Source organism: Homo sapiens, chromosome 18, assembly GCF_000001405.40.
Source record: "Homo sapiens chromosome 18, GRCh38.p14 Primary Assembly".
NCBI lineage: Eukaryota > Metazoa > Chordata > Mammalia > Primates > Hominidae > Homo > Homo sapiens.
The window spans coordinates 35,468,232-35,488,784 of record NC_000018.10 but is presented as its reverse complement, the minus strand read 5'-3'; the positions used below and the strand labels follow the sequence as shown (position 1 = coordinate 35,488,784).

The 20,553-nt window shown below is 41.2% G+C and overlaps 1 protein-coding gene across 6 annotated transcripts in view, besides 2 other annotated features; it reads left to right on the top strand.

Moving 5' to 3' along the window:
* Positions 1 to 20,452, top strand: part of INO80C (INO80 complex subunit C) — a 29,628-nt gene extending 9,176 nt beyond the window's left edge. For 4 of the 6 annotated variants that reach the window (NM_194281.4, XM_005258196.6, NM_001308064.2 and 1 more), the window contains exons 2-5: positions 8,222 to 8,332; positions 9,374 to 9,485; positions 10,436 to 10,503; positions 20,043 to 20,452. In NM_194281.4, the coding sequence (NP_919257.2) occupies positions 8,222 to 8,332; positions 9,374 to 9,485; positions 10,436 to 10,503; positions 20,043 to 20,174 (423 nt within the window). In that variant the 3' untranslated portion in view covers positions 20,175 to 20,452. Of the gene's footprint in view, positions 1 to 1,345; positions 1,400 to 2,762; positions 2,782 to 8,221; positions 8,333 to 9,373; positions 9,486 to 10,435; positions 10,504 to 20,042 lie in introns of those variants that run through there. The other 2 variants (NM_001098817.2, XM_017025549.2) reach the window with 2 other exon arrangements.
* Positions 26 to 320: an enhancer, noted in NCBI's record as "tiled region #729; HepG2 Activating non-DNase unmatched - State 7:EnhWF, and K562 Activating non-DNase unmatched - State 23:Low". NCBI's record gives its function as "activates a minimal TATA promoter and a strong SV40 promoter by Sharpr-MPRA in HepG2 and K562 cells {active_cell/tissue: HepG2 | K562}" and the evidence as "EXISTENCE:reporter gene assay evidence [ECO:0000049][PMID:27701403]".
* Positions 9,347 to 10,546: an enhancer, noted in NCBI's record as "CDK7 strongly-dependent group 2 enhancer chr18:33058203-33059402 (GRCh37/hg19 assembly coordinates)". NCBI's record gives its function as "activates an origin of replication core promoter dependent on BRD2, BRD4, P300/CBP, MED14 and CDK7 cofactors, with strong dependence on CDK7, by STARR-seq in HCT116 cells {active_cell/tissue: HCT116}" and the evidence as "EXISTENCE:reporter gene assay evidence [ECO:0000049][PMID:35650434]".
* Positions 20,453 to 20,553: the final 101 nt, after the last annotated feature.

The window sequence follows — 20,553 nt, the reverse complement described above, 5'->3', positions numbered from 1 at the left end:
AATTTGCAGCCTGACAATGTGATAGAGAATAAAAACCCATTTTCTGAGGAGAAATTCAAGCTGGCTGCAGAAATTTGCATAAGCAGTGAGGAGCCAAATGTTAATCACCAAGACAATGGGGAAAATGTCTCTAGGGCATGTCAGAGACCTTTGTGGCAGCCCCTCCCATCACAGGCCCAGTGCCTAGTGGGAAAAAAAGGTTTCAGGTGACTGACCCAGGGACCCCTCTGCTGTGCGCAGCCTGGGAACTTGGTGCCCTGTGTTCCAGCCACTCCAGCCATGGTAAAAGGGGCCAAGGTAGAGCTTGGGCCACGGCTGCAGAGAGTGCAAGCTCCAAGCCTGGCCAGTTTCCACATAGTGTTGAGCCTGTGGGTGCACAGAAGTCAAGAATTGAGGTTTGGGAACCTCCACCTACATTTCAGAGGATGTATGGAAATGCCTGGATGTCCAGGCCAAAGTTTGCTGCAGGGGCAGGGCCCTTACAGAGAACCTCTACTAGGACATTGAGGAAGGGAAATGTGGAGTTGAATCCCCCAAACAGAGTCCCCACTGGGAAACTGCCTAGCGGAGCTGTGAGAAGAGAGCCACCGTCCTTCAGAGCCCGGAATGGTAGATCCACCAACAGCTTGCACTGTGTGACTGGAAAAGACACAGACACTCAACGCCAGCCTGTGAAAGTAGCCAGGAGGGAGGCTATACCCTGCAAAGCCACAGGGGCAGAGCTGCCCAAGACCATGGGAACCCATTTCTTGCATCAGTGTGACTTGGATGTGAGACATGGAGTCAAAGGAGATCATTTTGGAGCTTTAGGATTTGACTGCCCTGCTGGATTTCAGACTTGGTGTGGGTCCTGTAGCCCCTTTGTTTTGGCCTATTTCTCCTATTTGGAATGGGTGTATTTATCCAATGCCTGTACCCTCATTGTATCTAGGAAGTAACTAACTTGCTTTTGATTTTACAGGCTCATTGGTGGAAGGGACTTGCCTTGTCTCGGATGAGACTTTGGACTGTGGACTTTTGAGTTAATGCTGAAATGAGTTAAGACTTTGAGGGACTGCTGGGAAGGCATGATTGATTTTAACATGTGAGGACATGAGATTTGGGAGGGGCCGGGGGCGGAATGATAGTTTGGCTGTGCCCTCACCCAAATCTCATCTTGAATTGTAGCTCCCAAAATTCCCACATGTTGTGGGAGGAACCCGGTGGGATATAATTGAATCATGGGGGCAGTTTCCCCCATGCTGTTCTCATGGTAGTGAATAACTCTCAGGAAATCTGATGGTTTTATAAGGGGAAACCCCTTTCACTTGGCTTTCATTCTCTCTCTTGCCTGCTGCCACGTAAGACGTGCCTCTTGCCTTCCGCCATGATTGTGAGGCCTCCCCAGCCGCGTGGAAATGTGAGTCCATTAAACCTCTTTTTCTTTATAATTTACCCAGTCTTAGGTATGTCTGTATCAGCAGCATGAAAATGGACTAACACAATGACCTTGACACTTGAAGAGTACTGGCCACTTATTTTCTAGAATATTCCTCAATTTGGGCCTGTCTGATATTTCCTCATGGTTAGATTTGAGTTATATATTTTTGGCAAAAATAGAGAAGTAATGCTATCTTCTCAGTGCATCCTGTTGTGGCACTTGATGTCAAATTACTAATGATGTTAGATTTGAGCACTTAGTAAGGTGGTATCTGCCAGGTTTCTCCAATGTAAAGTTATTCTTTTCATGTTTGTATTGAAGTATCTTGTGGGAAGATACTTTGAGACTATAAATAGCCTATTTTATTTCATACTTTGCCAGTGACTTTTAATATCCATTGATAGCTTTTGCTTGAAATAGTTATTATTGTGGTGGTTGACAAGTAGTGATTTCCTAATTTGAATCTTCATTCCTTTTAGATTTATTAATTAGAATCCTATTGTGAGCAACAGCTTTCTCTTCTCTTCCATTCATTCTTTTTTTCCTATTAAAATTTTTTTTTTTTTTTTTTTTTTTTTAAGAAATTGGGTATTGCTATGTTGCCTGGGCTGGAATGCAGTGGCTATTGCCAGACACAATCATAGCGCAGTGCAGCCTCCTGGGTTCAAGTGATCCTCCCTTCTCAGTCTCCCGAGTAACCAGAACTACAACAGGCCATTTATTCATTTTTTAAAATCAGTATTTATGTCATGGATTTTTATTTTATTATATGGGTTATAATCCACTACTAGCTTTATTCATTCCTTCTTTTATAAGTTTATCTGTAGTAGCTTTACTGAGATATAATTCACATACTATAAAATTCACCCTTTTAAAGTGTATAATTTAGTGGTTTATAGTATATTCACTGAGTTGTGCAACCCTCACAATATCCTATCTAATTTTAGGATATTCCTGTTACCCCAAAGAGAAACTCATTACCCATAAGCAGTCACTTTCCATTCCCCTGTTCTGCCAGCCCCTGGCAACCACTGATCTACTTTCTGTCTCTGAATGTGACTACGTATCTCATATAAATGGAATTATACAATATGTGGCCTTTTGTGTCTGGCTTCTTTTTGTTAGTGTAATTTTTTTCAAGATTTATCCGTGACAGAGCATGAATCAGAATGCCATTTCTTTTTGTGATTGAATAATATTACATTTTATGGACATACTACATTTTGTGTTTTATTTTTTATTTCTTTTAGAGACAGGGGCTCACTCTGCTGCCCATGCTGGAAGGCAGTGGCACAATCATAGCATACTGTAACCTTGAACTCCTGAACTTGCCTCAGCCTCTGGAGTAGCTGGGACTACAGGCAAGTGCCACCACAACTGGTTACTTTTTTATTTTATTTTTTGTAGAGAAAGGGTCTTGCCATGTTGCCTAGGCCACTTTTGAACTCTTGGCCTCAAGCAGTCCTCCTGCCTCAGCCTCCCAAAGTGTTGGGATTACAGGCATGAGTTCCTGTGCTTGGCCCTGCCACATTTTATCTCTTCATCAGCTGATGGACATTTAGGTTGTTTATGCCTTTTGGCAATTATGAATAATGCTGCTATGAATATTTGTGTACAAGTTTTTGCATGGACATATGTTTTTCATTCTCTTTGAGTGTATACCTAGAAGTTAAATTATTGGGTCATATGATAATTCTGTGGTTAACATTTTGAGAAACTTCCCAATTGTGTTTTTTTTTTAATGGTGTTTTTGCACCATTTTACGTTCTTACCAGCAATGTATGAGGGTTCCAGTTTCTTCACATCTTTGCCAATATGTGTTATTGTCTTTGATTGTAACCATCCTAGTGAGTGTGCACTGGAATTTCATTGTGATTTTGATTTACATTTCCCTAATGACTAGTGATGTTGAGCATCTTTTCACGTGCTTACTGGCTGTTTGTATATCTTCTTTGAAGAAATTCTTTGCCCTTTTAAAAATTGAATTGTCTTTTTGTTGTTGAGTTGTAGAGTTCTTCATATATTCTGGATTTATGTATATACTGGTTTGTTGCTTAAGTTTTTGAAATTGGTCCAGTAGGAGCCTCTTCAAACTGGCTCCCGTGTCCTTTAGTTTGCCCCTATCATTTTTTGGGTGCTGTTATGGACTAAGTTTTGGTACCCCCATGCCCCCAGTATTTATTATTTTGTCCTGACCCCTAGTATACCTCAGTTACATTCTGGAGATAGGGACTTCAGGGAGGTAATTAAGATTAAATGAGGTCGTCTGGGTGGGCCCTAATCCTGGATGACTGGTGCCGTTATAAGAAGAGGGAGAGACTCCAGGGGTGCACACAGCCTCAGGAGAAACCAAACTTGTCAACACGTTGTTCTTGGACTTCTAGCCTCCAGAACTGGAGAAAATAAATTTCTATCATATAAGCCACCCAATCTATGGTATTCTGTTACAGCACTCTGAATAAACTGACACAAGTGCTTTCTTTCTGACACCACAAGATGTTCTAGTCTTATACTTTCCTGCTCCAGCCCTAGAGTCAGCCATTTCTTCATGGATCACTGGTTCTTAGAGAATAATACACTTGTCTCTCAGTATATGTGCTGGATTGGTTCCAGGACCTCCTATGGGTACCAAAATCCATGGAACCTCAAGTCCCTGATATAAATAAAGTAGCATAGTGTTGCATATAATTTGTGCACATCCTCCTGTATACTTCAACCACGTCTAGATTACTTATAATAGGTAATGCAATGTAAATGCCATGTAAATAGTTGTTATATTGTACAGTTTAGGGAATAATGACAAGGAAAAAAGTTTGTACATGTTTAGTCAAGATGCATTTTTCCCCCACCAAATGTCTTCTGTCTGTGGTTGCTTGAATCCATGGATGCAGAACTCCTCTATATGGAGGGCTGATTGTATTTAGAAAGGATGATCTGAATGTTGCTTTGCCTATTGTTCATTGTTTCCAGTCTTCTCAGTGCACAGAGCTAGGAAATATATGTGTGTGTATACCTGCACTACCCACACCTCTCTATGTATTTCTGTAATTATCTGCCTGTATACTGAAAACTGTGAGCTCATATTGATAACCTCTAGTTTCAATCCAATTCCACAGCACTCATTCTGGCCTTCCCCCTTTTCTTATTTGCTTTTCTACATTTGCTATGTATCTTAGAATACACATAAAGTAGTTTCAGAATTATTAACATGTGCCCCTGTGAGAAACAAACTTACCAACTATGTATGGTTCTTTTTGGCCTTTAACCTTGGATTACATAGTCAAAATACCATATTCATAGTTACTCAGGTTATTTCTCCCTTGCCTCCACTTCAGTGTGGTTATGTTATTTGAAACACAAGTGAATTTGTGTTTACAGGGTTTTTAAAATTCTATTTTTTATCCCCTGCCGCATCCTTGTTGATTTTATTATTTATTTTTTCAAGTATATGAAACCTTAACATGGTTCAAAAAGTCAAAACTCTACAAAAAGCTATACTCAGAGAAGATTTACTCTCTTCTATTTCCTTCCCATCTCCCTCTCCATTCCACTATGTTCCCCTCTGCCCCTGCAGGTAACCACACTCAGTTGTTTCTTTCCAAGTTATCCTTCCTGTGTGTTTGGCCACTGCATCCCAGCCAGAGATGCTTCCTTGTAAGGAGCTTCTGAGCATATACATCTCCAGTGCTGATGCTGGCATTCAGTCATACCACCCTGTCTTGTTCCTTAACATTGATCAGTTAATCAATGAATCACTCATTATTTGGTACCTACTCTGTGCTAGGCACTGGGTTAGAAGCAGGGACAGAGGCTGAACTATGAAGTAAAGCAGCATGTTTTGAGCCCTCTGTGTATCCTCACTCTCTGAATCTACCCCTCTCTCCTTGTCCCCCTTTCTTCTGATCTGTTGTTCCCTGCGTGTATCATAAAGCTGCTGTTGTGTTGTCTAAACTATCAATCATATATACAATATATACTAGATGTTACTCTTACAAATAGTCAGTGCAAAATAACATTGACAGCTGGCTAAAACTGCACAAGGTAATGTTCGTTACTGATGAAATGTGATGGGAGAATCAAATCTTCCTTATCAGACTGGGTCTCCCAGAGTACAGGTACCTGGTAGAAATATGATGACTATAAAGGAAAAAAAATCATACAAGCAATAAAAGTTATGTAAAAAAAAACTAAATCTAACCTTTGTTGTAAAATTAAAACTGACATGGACGAATCCCAATGAAAATAATCTTAGTACAGCATAAATGAAAATGGAAAAATTGGAGACTCTTTTTGCTGTATAGAAAATGGCTAAATGGATATCGCACCAGAAAAGACAAAATGTAGGAAGGATGGGGAGCAAGAGGCGAGGCTGGAGAGGAGGCCTGAATTTGTTCCTAATCCCAAGGGAAGTAGAAACCACTGGCCAGATTTAAGTAGCGGAGCATCATCATGCTTGCATTGAAAAGTATGTCACTGGCTGAGCTGTAGAGAATCGGCTGGAGTAGGCAAGATGTGTACTGCACAGTCCCACCTCTGAATTATATAGCTCAGGAAGTTACCAGATAAACGCTAAGGACTGTGGGAGGAAGGGAGAGTGGGGTGCGGAAGGGAGGGTGGGAGGAAGGAAGAGATAGATCACTGTGGGTACAGATGGTAGGAAAAGGATGAGGAATGGGCAGCCTCTCAGTTCTTAAAGTTGACATTTGCACTGAGCTTGGAGGGAAGAAAAGCTAAGAAAGACCTTAGAAGTGGAGAGGATGAGGTGAAGGGGAATCCAGACAGAAGGTGGCGGCCACAGAGGAGAGGGAGCACAGGGCCTTGGCTGGAACCCCGGCTCAGGTGGAGAGACCTGGAGAGGGGTCAGAGAAGGTGTTTGAGGAGAGAGCACCCAAAGAACTATTGCAGCAATGTGAGTGGTTCTTGTCTTCTCCACTCCTCTTCCCCCAACATGAATGAATGTAGATATATTCATATTCCACCATACTCTCTTACTAAGATAAGTAAGATTTTCACTTACTAAGTAAGTTGAGCTCCTTATCAGCATGAGGGAACCAGAATAAGTTGCTAAAATTCCAGCTGAGAGTAGATAAGCTGTGATTTAGTTAATCATGTAGTGTCTTCCACATTCCACATGACAACATGATGACTTTTAGCCTTAACTCTTTTTTTGAAGGGTGCATGCAACCTTTGGAACATGATTTGGCAGTGACTTGTAAAGTTAAACATACACTTACCCTATAACCCAACCATTCCACTCCTAGGTATTTGCCCAAGAGAAATGAAAACATCACAGAGGCTTTATTTGTAATAGCTGAAGACTGATAATGAACCGAACGTCCACGAACACGAAAATGAATAAACAAATTGGGGTGCCTCCTTACCGTGGAATACTATTGTGTTGAGTAGTGTGCAAATACACTGAAACAGACTGATCCACGCAACAACATGGATACATCTCAGAAACTTTTCTTTGTTTTTGAGACGGAGTAGAGTCTCGCTGTTGCCCAGGCTGGAGTGCAGTGGCATGATCTCGGCTCACTGCAGCCTCCGCCTCCCAGGTTCAAGTGATTTTCCTGCCTCAGCCTCCCGAGTAGCTGGGTCTACAGGCACACATCACCATGCGTGGCTAATTTTTGTATTTTTAGTAGAGGTGGAGTTTCACCATGTTGGCCAGGCTGGTCTTGAACTCCTGACCTCAAGTGATCCAACCACCTCAGCCTCCCAAAGTGCTAGGATTACAGGTGTGAGCCACCATGCCTGGCCACATCTCAGAAACTTTATGCTGAGCAAAAGAATCCAGACACTAGAGTACATGCTGTTAAATGCTGTTTATACGAAGTTCTCCAACAGGCAGAAGTAATGTGGTAGAAATTAGAACAGCGGTTGCCGTTGGGACTGGAAGGTATTGACAAGGATAGGAATTGTACTAGTGTAAACTTTTGGCAAAACTCATGACAACTACATTTAAGATCTGTGTATTTCACTGTATGTAAATCACATCTCAATTTTTTAAAAGTTAATTGAAGCCTGGCAAGATGGGAAATTGTATTACAGATCAGAAGTGGTTTCTTACTTTGGCTTGTTTTTTCTTTGTGATTGTTAGCTTAAAGGTTTTTTGCTTTAAACCATATTAGCGTTCTTGTCAGGGCACTCTCTGGCTGCTGCCAGCTGACCTGTGGCCCTCCAGCTTTTTTTCCGTTTTCCTTCCTTGGAATGCCCATGTCCTGTTGTGCCACTTAAGCATACCAGCTCCAGTCTGGGTTCTCTGGCCAACTAGACCCTTAAAGGGGCTGGACCTTTGTTGTCTTAATATTTTAAGACAGAGTTCATAAGATCAGTGGAAGTCAGAACTGTGTGGTGTCATGGAGATTATGAGGGCTTTAGAACTGGCCCAACCTAGGTTTGAATCCAAAACTCAATCACTATGTGACCTTGAACCTGTTCCCCTGGGCCTCAGTTTTCTTTTCTGTATGCTGGGGATAATAGCACCTACTGTGGAGTGGTTGTCAGAATTAAATGAGCTAACTTGCGTAGGACAGCCATCCCTGTGCTTGGCACTTAGGGTACCCGGGAAACATAGCAGTTGGAGGTCCTGGCCTGTTTCTCCTGTGGCTTCTGCACAGCAGGTGCTACTCCCCGTGTGGTGTGCCCTCCCCTAGGGCAGGCTGCCTGCTGGAGCTCTGGGCATACTGTCTTCCCTTGCATGCCCTGTGGCATCATCGTATGCCCTGTTGAGAGCAGAGGTGGGGAACTCAGCTGAAAGAAACTGACTTCTTCAAACTATTTTTATTATGTTTTAAGGGTATCAGCATGGAAGCCATGAGTGAGAATAAAATGGTGCCCTCTGAGTTTAGCACAGGACCTGTGGAAAAAGCTGCCAAACCTTTGCCATTTAAGGATCCCAACTTTGTGGTAAGCATCGAAGGTATTAGCTGAATAAACATCCAAATGCCACACCTCAGCCTCTGATCTTGCTGGGCCTGTAGCCAGGGTGGCACTGGCATTCTCTCCTCCCTCAGTCTCAGTTACCTCCTTCTCCCCTATGGGCAAGATGGGGACAAGAGAAGGGTTCTTTCTGTTGATCTTTTAATGTGCCATATCCCAAGGATTTGGGTGTCCTTTGTGGATTCATTAAAGGATACTGTTTGGAGGGTGGGACATTTCCATGATGATTGTTCCCCTAACCTTTTCATTGGTCTTACAATCTTAGACAAAGCTTGAAATATTTAGCTAAATGAGAAGTACTTCCTCATTAGTTTCATAAGGTAAATCCAAGCTGTTGTGCTGTGGAGTAGAACACAGGGTATTCTTCCTTTCATTCTTGAGACTGGTAATAAACTGCAGCAGTTCAGATTATACTGTTAAATTTTTTTTTAATGAATTAGTTTTGGAAATACAATATTACCAGTGTTTGCAACAGATTTTGGTATTCTTTTCCATTTTATTGTGTCATCTTTGTAGGATAAAAAAAAAAAAAAAGAGGTACCTAGAAGAGTACCCATACTGCAACTGGGGCTTTCTCAACTTTTCCAGGATCCCCAGTTTACATGGCAGAGACTTGCCCCGAGAAGGGAGTTGAGAGATGCAGTCCTGGATTTAAATCTGACTTTGTAGTAAATTTATCTTAAAGTATGAAGAAATTCATGAATGAATTCTACAAAGTTAGACCCAATAAAGGCTTTTTTTTTTACGTGCATATAAAGAAGTAGCCTTTTATTTCTACTCCAGCACAAACTAACTCAAGGGTTTTGACAATCTGAAAACTTCTTTTTTAAACTAAGATTAACATGTTAATGTGTACAGTGAAATACCTTTTAAAAAAAGTCTCAGGGGTCTTAATGATTGTTGACAGATGAGAGGTATATTACAGTTATGATTAGGCATAAATGTCAGATGTCGAAATGGTAGTCTCCATTGGTTTTTGTTTCTTCTAATCCATGCCTTCAATTCAAGCACTCTGGCCACGGTGGCGCAGTAGCTGGCAAGAAGAACAGAACCTGGAAGAACCTGAAACAAATCCTCGCTTCTGAAAGGGCATTGCCGTGGCAACTGAACGATCCTAACTGTGAGCTGTCTAGAGCCTTCCATGTGTTTGTAATGTTCAGAGTAGGAACTGTCTTATAACAACCTACATTATTGTATTGTGTTTGCATCATTGTAGGAAATAATTTTTAGCTTGAGAATTTTATAGTGGCATCAGTCTGGGCAGATTATGTGTGTATTTTCTCATAACTGTATCTGTATTGAGCCTATTTGTTTGTGTTGTCATGGATGTGTGGTTTTTAGGGTCATAGGTCCCAATATGATAATATTGGTGTTTCTACTAGACAAACTTCTTATTCAAAAGTCTACTCTTAAAATGTGTTTCCAAAAACAAGGTAGCCCAAGTATAATACCAGATTTAGGAGGGTTCCTGACAACCAGCTTAAAGGCCAGCTCTTTTATACTTTGTGAGCCAGTGTTTAGTAAATACTTCATGCTGCAGTGTGTCCAGATTTATGTAAAACACTGTTATATGTTCTGTTCAGCTTCACTGGAAAGTACAAGTTCAAAGTTCTCACCATCTCCTACTCCACTGTACTTCTTTCATGGGGGTGACTCACATGGGTGACAAGTGAGCTAGTCATTCATTCGTCTGGGTGTGGACATGAGGGTGTCAGGGTGCTCAGATCCAGTTATTGGCTCATTTGGCATTTCATCACCATCAGCCCATGTAGTGTGAGATCGTGAAAATAGCTGGTGGGCAGATGAGCTTTCCGGTGGTTCTGTGGGAATAGAGGGTCCCTGGTGACAGGGCAGGGCTAGATCTGGAGCCTGCACTTGGCCTGTGACATACTGTCTTGTTTCTGAGAATCCTCCCCTACTTCTCTAGTTAATCTCCAGAGACTTCTGTGACTACTTAATCACAAAGGAAATTTTCAGGAATATTATCAAATACTATTTTAGAAAAAAAAAGAGAAGGGATTTGAATGTTTTCAGTTCAGTTTAGTTATCTTTTTTTTTTTTTTTTCCCAGACTTCAGTATTGATGCTCCTCCATCCTTTAAGCCAGCTAAGAAGTATTCTGATGTTTCAGGTCTGCTTGTGAGTATGATTATATCTCTTATAACATTAAATGGAAAAGATTTCACAGTAATGTCTAATTAGACAAGTGTTGAATATTGATCATGGCTGGTCCTGCCTGGAGCCTGTCTACAGTGATAGGTGATAGGTTTGTGCAGTGTGTTCATTGCTGCAAACAGGCATCTGTGGGGGCAGCCTGCAGGGAGGATTGAACCAGAAAGCAGGAGACTCCAGCTTCTCTTCTTTACCTCTGCTAGTTAACTATATGAGATAACATGAAAGAAACAACTATGTATTTCTTTTTTTACTGCTGAAGTTTTAAAAACCTGCATTTTAGATGATGATTGTATTTACAAAACCATGTTTAAACTTCTCTAAACAGGTGCTTTGGCAAAGGTTGTGACATTCAAACTTATTTTTAAGCATCAGAACCCCTTTTCCAAATGAAATCTTTTACAGAATCCAATATATAACAGCCTGGAGCCCACCTTTCTGCTGTGGTCCCATGTGGATCTGGCCGCCTATCTTCCTCCCCACTCCCCACCACAGTGACTGCTCAAGTGCTTCTGGGGAACACAATTCAGAAACTGCCAGCAGAGCTGAAATAGTGGGAAGTGGGCAAGTTGCTAAAGCTCAGGAACCTCAGAACACCCCCATTTCCTTATTTGCAGAAGGTGGAACCTAAGATTCATCTTTTTTTGTTTTGTTTTGTTTTGTTTTGTTTTGTTTTCTTAAACAAATGGATGAACTTAGAGATTCTTTTAATTAGCTCTTGCATGTCAGGGTCTTAATCCTTTTTCATCTCATAAATTTGGAAAAATAATTTAAGTACTTTACATTTTAATGAAAATATGACTCCAACTTATCTAACAAATTGACCAAATTAATTATGTACGGAGGAGAATTGCCTCCTTTGTTATTATTATGTAATATCCCTGTTTGTCCCTGATAATATTCATTGTTCTGAAGTCTACTTTGTCTGAAATTAATATCGTTACCCCAGCTTTCTTTCGTTCATGTGTGGATGGTATATCTTTCTTGATCTTTTCACTTTTTTTTGAGACAGAGTCTCACTGTGTTGCCCAGGCTGGAGTGCAGTGGCACGCTCTTGGCTCACTCCAGCCTCTACCTCCTGGGTTCAAGCGATTATCCTGCCTCAGCCTCCTGAGTAGCTGGGACTACAGGCACACGCCACCATGCCTGGCTAATTTTTGTATTTTTAGTAGAGATGAGGTTTTGCCATGTTGGCCAGGCTGGTCTTGAACTCCTGACCTCAAGTGATCCTCCTGCCTTGGCCTCCCAAAGTGCTGGGATTACAGGTATGAGCCACCATACCTGGCCTATCTTTTCACTTTTAAACTATCTATATATTTAAAGTGGATTCTTGTTGAAAGCATATTGTTGAGTTGTTGGGTCTTTCTTTTTCTTTTTCTTTTGGAGGTAGAGTCTTGCTCTTTTACCCAGGCTAGAATGGAGTGGTGTGATCATAACTCACTGAAGCCTTGAACTCCTTGGCTCAAGTGATCTCCCAACATCAGCCTCTCAAAGTGCTGGGATTAAAGACGTGAGCCTCTGCACCCAGTGGATCTTGCTTTTTATCCAGTCTATCAATCTAAGAACTGTTGTCCTTAGGCTATTCATCTTTAAAGTGATTGTTGATATGGTTGTATTTAAATCTACCATCTCACTAGTTGTTATTTGTTCCATTTGTGTTGCTTATTTCCCTTTTTCTGCCTTCTCTGGATTTATTGAGCGTTTTTTAATAGACTATATTTTTCAGAACAGTTCTAGATTTATGAAAAACGGAGACAATAGTATAGAAAGTGCCCATATAACCCAAACTCAGTTTCTGCTGTTATTAACATCTATGGTATATTTGTTACAATTAATGAACCAATAGTTATATATTATTATTAACTAAAGTCTATAATTTATTCACATTTCCTTAGTTTTTACCTAAAACTATATCAAATTTAGTCATCCTGTCTCGTTAGACTCCTCTTGGCTCTGCCAGTTTCTCAGGTTGTCCTTGTTTTTAATGACCTTAACAGTTTTAAGGAGCACTAGTCAGGTATTTAGTAGAATCCTCCACTACTGGAATTCCTCTGATGTTTTCTCATGATAAAACTGGGGTTAATTGAACATTTTAAAATTCTGTTTGTTTCCTTATTATTTACACCTCTTTTACAAATTATGAATGGTTACTTTCATGTTTACAATATACATTTTAAATAACCTGAATCTATTTTCAAATATTTTGCCACTTTGTGCATAATGTGAGGGACTTCTAGTAGTGAATTTCTAATTCCACTCTCTCATTCTTTGTTGTCATATAGTTTACTTTTACATATGCTACAAACAAAATGTATGGCTGTTAATTTGTGCTTTAGACAGTTACCTTTTAGAGAAATAAAAATAAGAAAAAAAAGAACTTTCTTTTATCTTCATTTCATTCTGTTTCCACCTTTTTTCATTTTGTTGTCTATTTCCAAGTTGCAATCTGATGTCATATTCTTTCTACTGGAACAATTTACTGTGCTTTTCTTATAAAGTAGATTTGCTACTAACGAAGTCCTTTCTTTTTTTGTTTTGTCAAAGAGCCTTTATTTCTTCTTCATTTTTTTTTTTTTAAGACAGGGTCTTACTCTGTTGCCCAGGCTGGAGTGCAGTGATGCCATCTTGGCTCACTGCAGCCGTCTTGACCTCCCAGGCTCAGGTGATGCATCTACCTCAGCCTCCCAAGTAACTGGGGCTACAGGTGTGTGCCACCATGCCTGGCTAATTTTTTGTGTTTTTTGTAGAGATGGGATTTCACCCTGTTGCCCGGGCCTGGTCTCAAATTCCTGGGCTCAAGTGATCATCCTGTCTTGGTCTCCCAAAGTGCTGGGATTACAGGCGTGAGCCACTGCACCCAGCCTTGTTCTTCCTTTTTGAATGATATTTTCAATGAGTATTTTTGAATGACATTTTCAAGTCTGGGCTGACAGTTTTTTCTTTCATCACTTTTAAGATGTCAGTGGTTAAATGTTGTCTTTTTGCTTCCATGGTTTCTGATGAGAAGTTTGATATAATTCTTACCTTTGTTCATCTCTATGTAATGTTTCTTGTTTGACTGCCTTCAAGATCTTCTCTTCGTCTTTTGTTTTCAGCAGTTTGAATATGACTGGGTATTGAATATGACTCAGGGTATTATTTTTCTGGTATGTATTCTTGATGTTCTCTGAGGTTTTGGATTTGTGGTTTGGTATCTGTCAAGAATTTTGGAAAATTCTTGGCTATTATTTCTTCAAATATTTCTTTTGCCTTGTCTTTTTCCCTTCTTCTAGGATTCCAGTTACACACATGTTAAACTATTTGATAGTGTCCCAAAACTCTTGGATGCTCTGTTCTGGTTTGTTTGCTTTTAAAAACTCTTATTTCGTTGCGGTTCAGTTTGGATGGTATCTACTGATGTGTCTTCAAGTTCTTTACTCACTGTATAGAGTATACCAATGAGCCTATTGGAAGCATCGTTTATCTCTCTAATTGTGTTTTTAATTTCTGGCTTTTCTATTTGATTATTATAGTTTTCATGTCTCTGATGAAATAACTTTCTTTTAAATTATTTATTTATTTAGAGATAGAGTCTTGCTCTCTAATCCAGGCTAGAGTGCAGTGATGTGATCACAGCTCACTACAGCCTCAAACTCCTGGGCTCAAGCGATCCACGTGCTTCAGCCTCCCCGGAAGCTAGGTCTACAGGTGTGTGCCACCACACCTGGCTTTTAAATTTTTTTTTATAGAGAAGGGGTCTTACTGTGTTGCCCAGGCTGGTCCTGAACTCCCGGCCTCAAGTCATCCTCCTGCCTTGGCCTCCCAAAGTGTTGGGATTACCAATGTGAGCCACCGTGCCTGACCTGAAATAACTTTCTATCTTGCATGTTGTCTCTCCTTTAACTCCTTCAAGATATTAATTATAGTTATTTTGAATTTCCTGTCTGGTAGTTTCAAAACCTACATCATATTCGGGTCTGGTTCTGGTGATTTCCTTGTCTTTTAAGACTACTTAGTTATTAAGTATATATATATATATATATATATATATATATATATATAGACACACACACACATATACACATATATATACATATATATATATATATGTATATTTTAAGTCCTTGAACACATAATAGCTGCTTTAAAGTATTTATCTGCTGTGTCCAACATTTGGTTCATCTTGGCCAGTTTCTGTTGACTGCCTTTTTTCTTAACTGTGCGTCACATTTTCCTGTTTCTTTGCATCTACAAGTTTTTGATTGTGTACTGGACATTATGGATGATATATTGTAAAAACTCTAGATTCTGTTATCTTTCCTTGAAGAGTATTTTTTTCCTGTGGTAGCTCAGTTACTGACTGATCACCTTTGTTAGGACAGGTCTGCAGAAAGCCCATGATGTTTCCCAAGCTCCTTTAACTTAGTTGCACTTAACTTCTAAGTGCTTTATCCTCTGCCAGTCTTACTGAAGTTTGGTGTTAGGCTTTGTTGTGGTGAGACTAGAATAGATGGTACTCAAGGGCATGATTTTTTTTCCCAAGCTGTGGCCTTTCTGTTGCCTGAGCTAGGTGCCAGGAGTGTTATAGAGATCTCTCTATTCTGGCTGGGCTGGCACTTCAGCAACTCCTAGCACTGCTCAACCTCTGGATTTTCTCTTTCCCTCTTAACCACTCTCCAGTAAGACGTATATAGTCTTGCCTTGAACATGCATAGCCCAGCCCATGGTTATGGACTCACGTGGAATCCCAAACTGACTTTTGCCTCCCTTCCAGGGCAGCTCCCTCTTCTGTTACTCAGCTTTGCCAATAACAGGTGTTTCAGTAGCCCCTGAATCTGAGCTCTGCGTGAGCTCCACCTCTGCCCCATGGTCAGGAAATTGTCACAGGCAGAGAGAGTTTGGATGATCCTGGAACTTACCTTGTGAGCTTCTCTTTTCTCAGGCATTGCAGTCTTGTGCTACCTCTTGTCTGTTGCCTGAAAATGGCTACTTCATGTATTTGGCCTGTTGTAATAGTCGTTTATGGCAAGAGAGCTCATCTGGCACCAGTTATTCTGTTATGACCCAAAGTGGAAATCTCTCCCTGTGTCATTTTGAGTTTCTGGAGGCCACAGTTTATGGCCAGACTTGGAGGGTGGTTCCTCAGAATGTCAGCTTTATCCTTATTGTTTCAGGCAGCTCATCTGCTAGTACAATGGTTTTCACACATTAGGAGGAGGGAGAATCATTATTCCAGGCCCCTTTATGACATTGGCAATGGACTTGTCACATTACACATTACCTAAAACCTCTTGCCCCACTGTATGTAGGAAATAAGAAGTTCTGAATAGACAGATAACTCTCCTAGTTCATTAAAGGACAATCCCACAGAAGAATCAGCAAAAAGGATATAAATAGGCAATTGCCAGAGAAGAAATATAGATGACCAATAAGTAGATATTCAGCTTCACTAGTAATTAGGAGAAAGACTCATCAAACAGGGAAGAAATTAAGACATTTGATTATACATTTTGGCACCAACAAACAGAAATGGGTATCTTCATACATTGTTGTTTTGAGGTGGGAACATACACTGGTACTGCTTCTTTGGAGGACAATTGGAGCAGTCTGTTGAGATTAAAAAAAAGAAAAACCTCTGACCTTGCAATATGCCTTATAGGCAGCTCCCTAGAGAAATAGTGTGCACACAGCAAAAGAAACTACCATCACAGTGAACAGGCAACCTACAGAATGGGAGAAAATTTTCTCAACCTACTCATCTGACAAAGGGCTAATATCCAGAATCTACAATGAACTCAAACAAATTTACAAGAAAAAAACAACCCCATCAAAAAGCGGGCAAAGGATATGAACAGACACTTCTCAAAAGAAGACATTTATGCAGCCAAAAAACACATGAAAAAATGCTCATCATCACTGGCCATCAGAGAAATGCAAATCAAAACCACAGTGAGATACCATCTCACACCAGTTAGAATGGCGATCATTCAAAAGTCAGGAAACAACAGGTGCTGGAGAGGATGTGGAGAAATAGGAACACTTTTACACTGTTGGTGGGAGTGTAAACTAGTTCAACTGCTGTGGAAGACAGTGTGGCGATTCCTTAAGAATCTAGAACTAGAAATACCATTTGACCCAGCCATCCCATTACTGGGTATATACCCAAAGGATTATAAATCATGCTGCTATAAAGACACATGCACATGTATGTTTATTGTAGCACTATTCACAATAGCAAAGACTTGGAGCCAACCCAAATGTCCAACAACGATAGACTGGATTAAGAAAATGTGGCACATATACACCATGGAATACTATGCAGCCATAAAAAATGATGAGTTCATGTCCTTTGTAGGGACATGGATGAAACTGGAAACCATCATTCTGAGCAAACTATCACAAGGACAAAAAACCAAACACCGCATGTTGTCACTCAGGTGGGAATTGAACAATGAGAACACATGGACACAGGAAGGGGAACATCACACTCCGGGGAATGTTGTGGGGTGCAGGGAGGGGGGAGGGATAGCATTAGGAGATATGCCTAATGCTAAATGACGAGTTAATGGGTGCAGCACACCAACATGGCACATGTATACATATGTAACAAACCTGCACATTGTGCACATGTACCCTAAAACTTTAATAATAATAAAATTAAAAAAAAAAGAAATAGTGTGCACAAAGAACTTCATGCAGAAATGCTTATGAGAGACCGCATTCGCAAAATGCTGGAAGCAACATCAAGGTCTATCACAGTGGATATTTTCATACTGTTCTTGAGCTCAATGCATAGTAACAACATGGCTAAATTTCCAGGATGTAATGTTGATTGAAAGATGCAAAGCAATATAAACAGCATGGTGCCACATATATAAAAATCAACACACACACACAAATTGGGTTATTTCTCTTGTGTGTTTACATATGTGTATAGGGGTAGACATAAAAAGTCTGGAAAGGTGCCCACTTAGCAGTGGTTTCTCCTGGGGAAGACAGAGGACTTTTGGATGGTAGATGGTGATAAATGAGGACTTTAGTCTTATCTGTAATGTTTTCTTTTAATTCTTTTTAGAGGAGAACGTGTTCGTCTGTTGCTTATATAATTTAAAGTTACATAATTAAAAAGTAAAGCCTAGTTCACATTTACATTGACACACACCTGTTCCTAGCCAGCCATGTGACTCTTTCCCCTGTGCCTAGGCATGGCAGCAAGACATGCAGGGTCATACCTGTGTTCAGCACTCGTTACAGAGCTATGAAAAGTGTATTCTGGGTGAGACGGGCAAGCCGTGAATACTGCCTGTCACCCTACAGCAAGGGGGGCCTGAAGCTGTTTGCTGGCTTCCCTGTGGGAAGTTGGCGTTTGCTTATTTCACTCAGGCTCAAAGGATGGCATCCAGAGGAGGGTGGACTGTAGGTGTGAAGCTCTTTACTTGTTCAACTCCTGGGTGTCACTTGGCATCCTTCCTTCTATTCAGAATCCTAGATGTTGGCCCCTGGGTCCAGTGCAGTCTGTTCAGGTTTTTGTTGGTAACCTTTTTGTTGGTGCCACAGGATCTCTGTATTCTGCACTGTTTATTCAGCAGCCCTCTTGGCAGTGAGGTCTGAACTTGGGCGGGCCGGCTCAGCACAGTTTGCTGGTAGGAGTGAGGCAGCCACAGACATGGAGCTCAGCCGAGGCTGGTTCGTCTATGGAGGCCAGATGGTCCACGCCAGACACACATGCCTACACTCTGCTCGGAACTGCAGGGCAGCCTCTCCTGCTAGTTAACCTAACTTCCCTCACTGCCAGGATCCCTCAGAAGAGACTTGTCACTGTTTTTCTAATTAAGCCTTTCCTTATATTACTGTCATTAAAGGAAATGTAGTACAGAAAGGTAACATCTAGATCAAGCCAAGGGATCGAAGTTTTATATAGAGCCATTAGTTAATCTTAGCCTTTTAGGAATAATCCCATTTCCTAACACACAGCAGTTAAATACTTAGGGGGGGTTCCCAGTGGCAAAATGGAAGACTTTTTAGGGCATGAGAAGCCTATAAATAAGTTCCCGACAGCTTGTTGCTTTTTTATTGAGTGTTCCCTCCCTTCCTAAATCACAGGATTACTGTGAGTCTAGGTCCACACAAAGATGATCCACATTAAAGTAGACATCTACACTTGAATAATTGGATGTTATCTGTCTAGACTTTAATGGCATCTTTTATAATTTTTTTAAAGGAGCTCAAAATGACTCACCCTCATGTCTTTTGTTTCAAAATCCGTAGAAGCCCATGTGCTTTGAGGTATATAGTTAGTGAATTATTTTCTCCGCTTGGCACATGGGGAACAGAGACCAAGAGAGAATTTTGATATGTCTGGGAAACAAGTTCTCTTTTCTGTGATGGTCCCAATTGTCTGTTTGTTTATTCATTCATTAGTCATTCATTTTGTTATACAAACCCTGACTGGAGGCCCTCTGTGTACTCTGCGTTGCACTAGGAGCCAGTCTACAATGATAAGCAAACTGTGGTTCCTGTCTCATGGACCCTCATAGCCTAGACCATCATCAAAGAGTCATGTAGATAATAAACTTTAAAGCAACAGAGATGTGCATTCCACTGGAATATTTTTGCTGCTGTGAAAGTGGAGGGTGAGGTTCTGACCTCCTGTGGGGGTACAAATAGGCTTCCCCAGAGGTGTAGCTTTGGGGCCGAGTCCTGAAGAATGAACTGGTGATTACTGAGCAAAATGGGCTGCAGTTGGGGTCCCCTGCCAAGGAAAGGACAGATGGGGCATGGTAAGAGGGAGGAACTTAGAGGCCGGGGACAGTTGGAATCAGAGAGTGGGGACATGTGGCTGAGGAGGAGGCTGAGGACAAAGGAAGGCCCATAGCTGAGGAGCTGCACTGAGGACTTGGGCCTTTGTCCCAAGAGCAGAGGAGCCATTTTGAGAGATTTTATGCCGAGGAATGACATGATCAGAATTGCACGTTGCAAAGAAGATCCTGGCCGCAGTTCTAGGGGAAGGGTGGGTGTGAATGGCTGGTGATGCACTACAGAGTTGCTCAGGGAGGCATGGAAGTGGCGCAGGGGGTGTTGGAAGAGCTGGAAAGGAGCATGCTGGAGGTAAGTGGAGCACAGCAGGGAGGGGCACATGCCCAGCATGCTGGGCGTCGGCTCCTGCCTTGAGGAGCACAGACCTGGGACATTTGTTGGAAAGAGGCAGGAGTCTGAAGGCAGGGAGGGATGACCATCATGAATTCAGTCTTGGACCTGTTGCAGCCCTTGAGGCACCAACAAGAAGAGTCCCAGAGTCTGATGTGGTCATTCCCCTTCCTCTCGTCCATACCCTGAAGTGTTTCTAGAGTCTGGGAAGGTTAATGAGCCTGTGCCACAGTGAGTGATTTAGTGTTCTTGGTGGCAGAGTAAGACATAATGAAAATATATATCACTTTCAGTGAAATAGAAAAAATTTTTAAACTTGAACTTAAAATATCCCTACCAGCAAAAACTTTCTGCCCTTCCCTGTGCCTCTTTTCACCCAGGCCAACTACACAGACCCCCAGAGCAAACTGCGGTTCAGCACCATTGAAGAGTTTTCCTACATTCGGAGGCTGCCCTCTGACGTCGTCACCGGCTACCTGGCCCTGAGGAAGGCCACGAGCATCGTTCCCTGAGCCCCAGAAAGGGAGATGAAGTGGAAAGCTGTTTCAAAAACAGACTCTGGACTCATGATTTTGTTTCACGGAAACAAACTCGTTCTGCTGTCAATCTGAAAATGCCAGTGCTGTGCCTTGGAAAGAATGTTTGGCTTTAATTTAAGGGTTTTTTTTTTTTTTAGTGTGTGTTTTCCCTCCAAGTGTGATATTTCCTGCTGAATTAAATTATACTTCAGTTGTTGCCTCAAGTAAAGGTGTTTGACAAGAAGATACAATAAAACCATACTTTTCATTTATCCCAAGTCCCTGAATTTTTGTTTTAAAGTGGTGAACCCCGTATAACACATTTAAAGACTCTGCAGTGAATCCACAACAGGTCTGGATTACTTCTAATCCT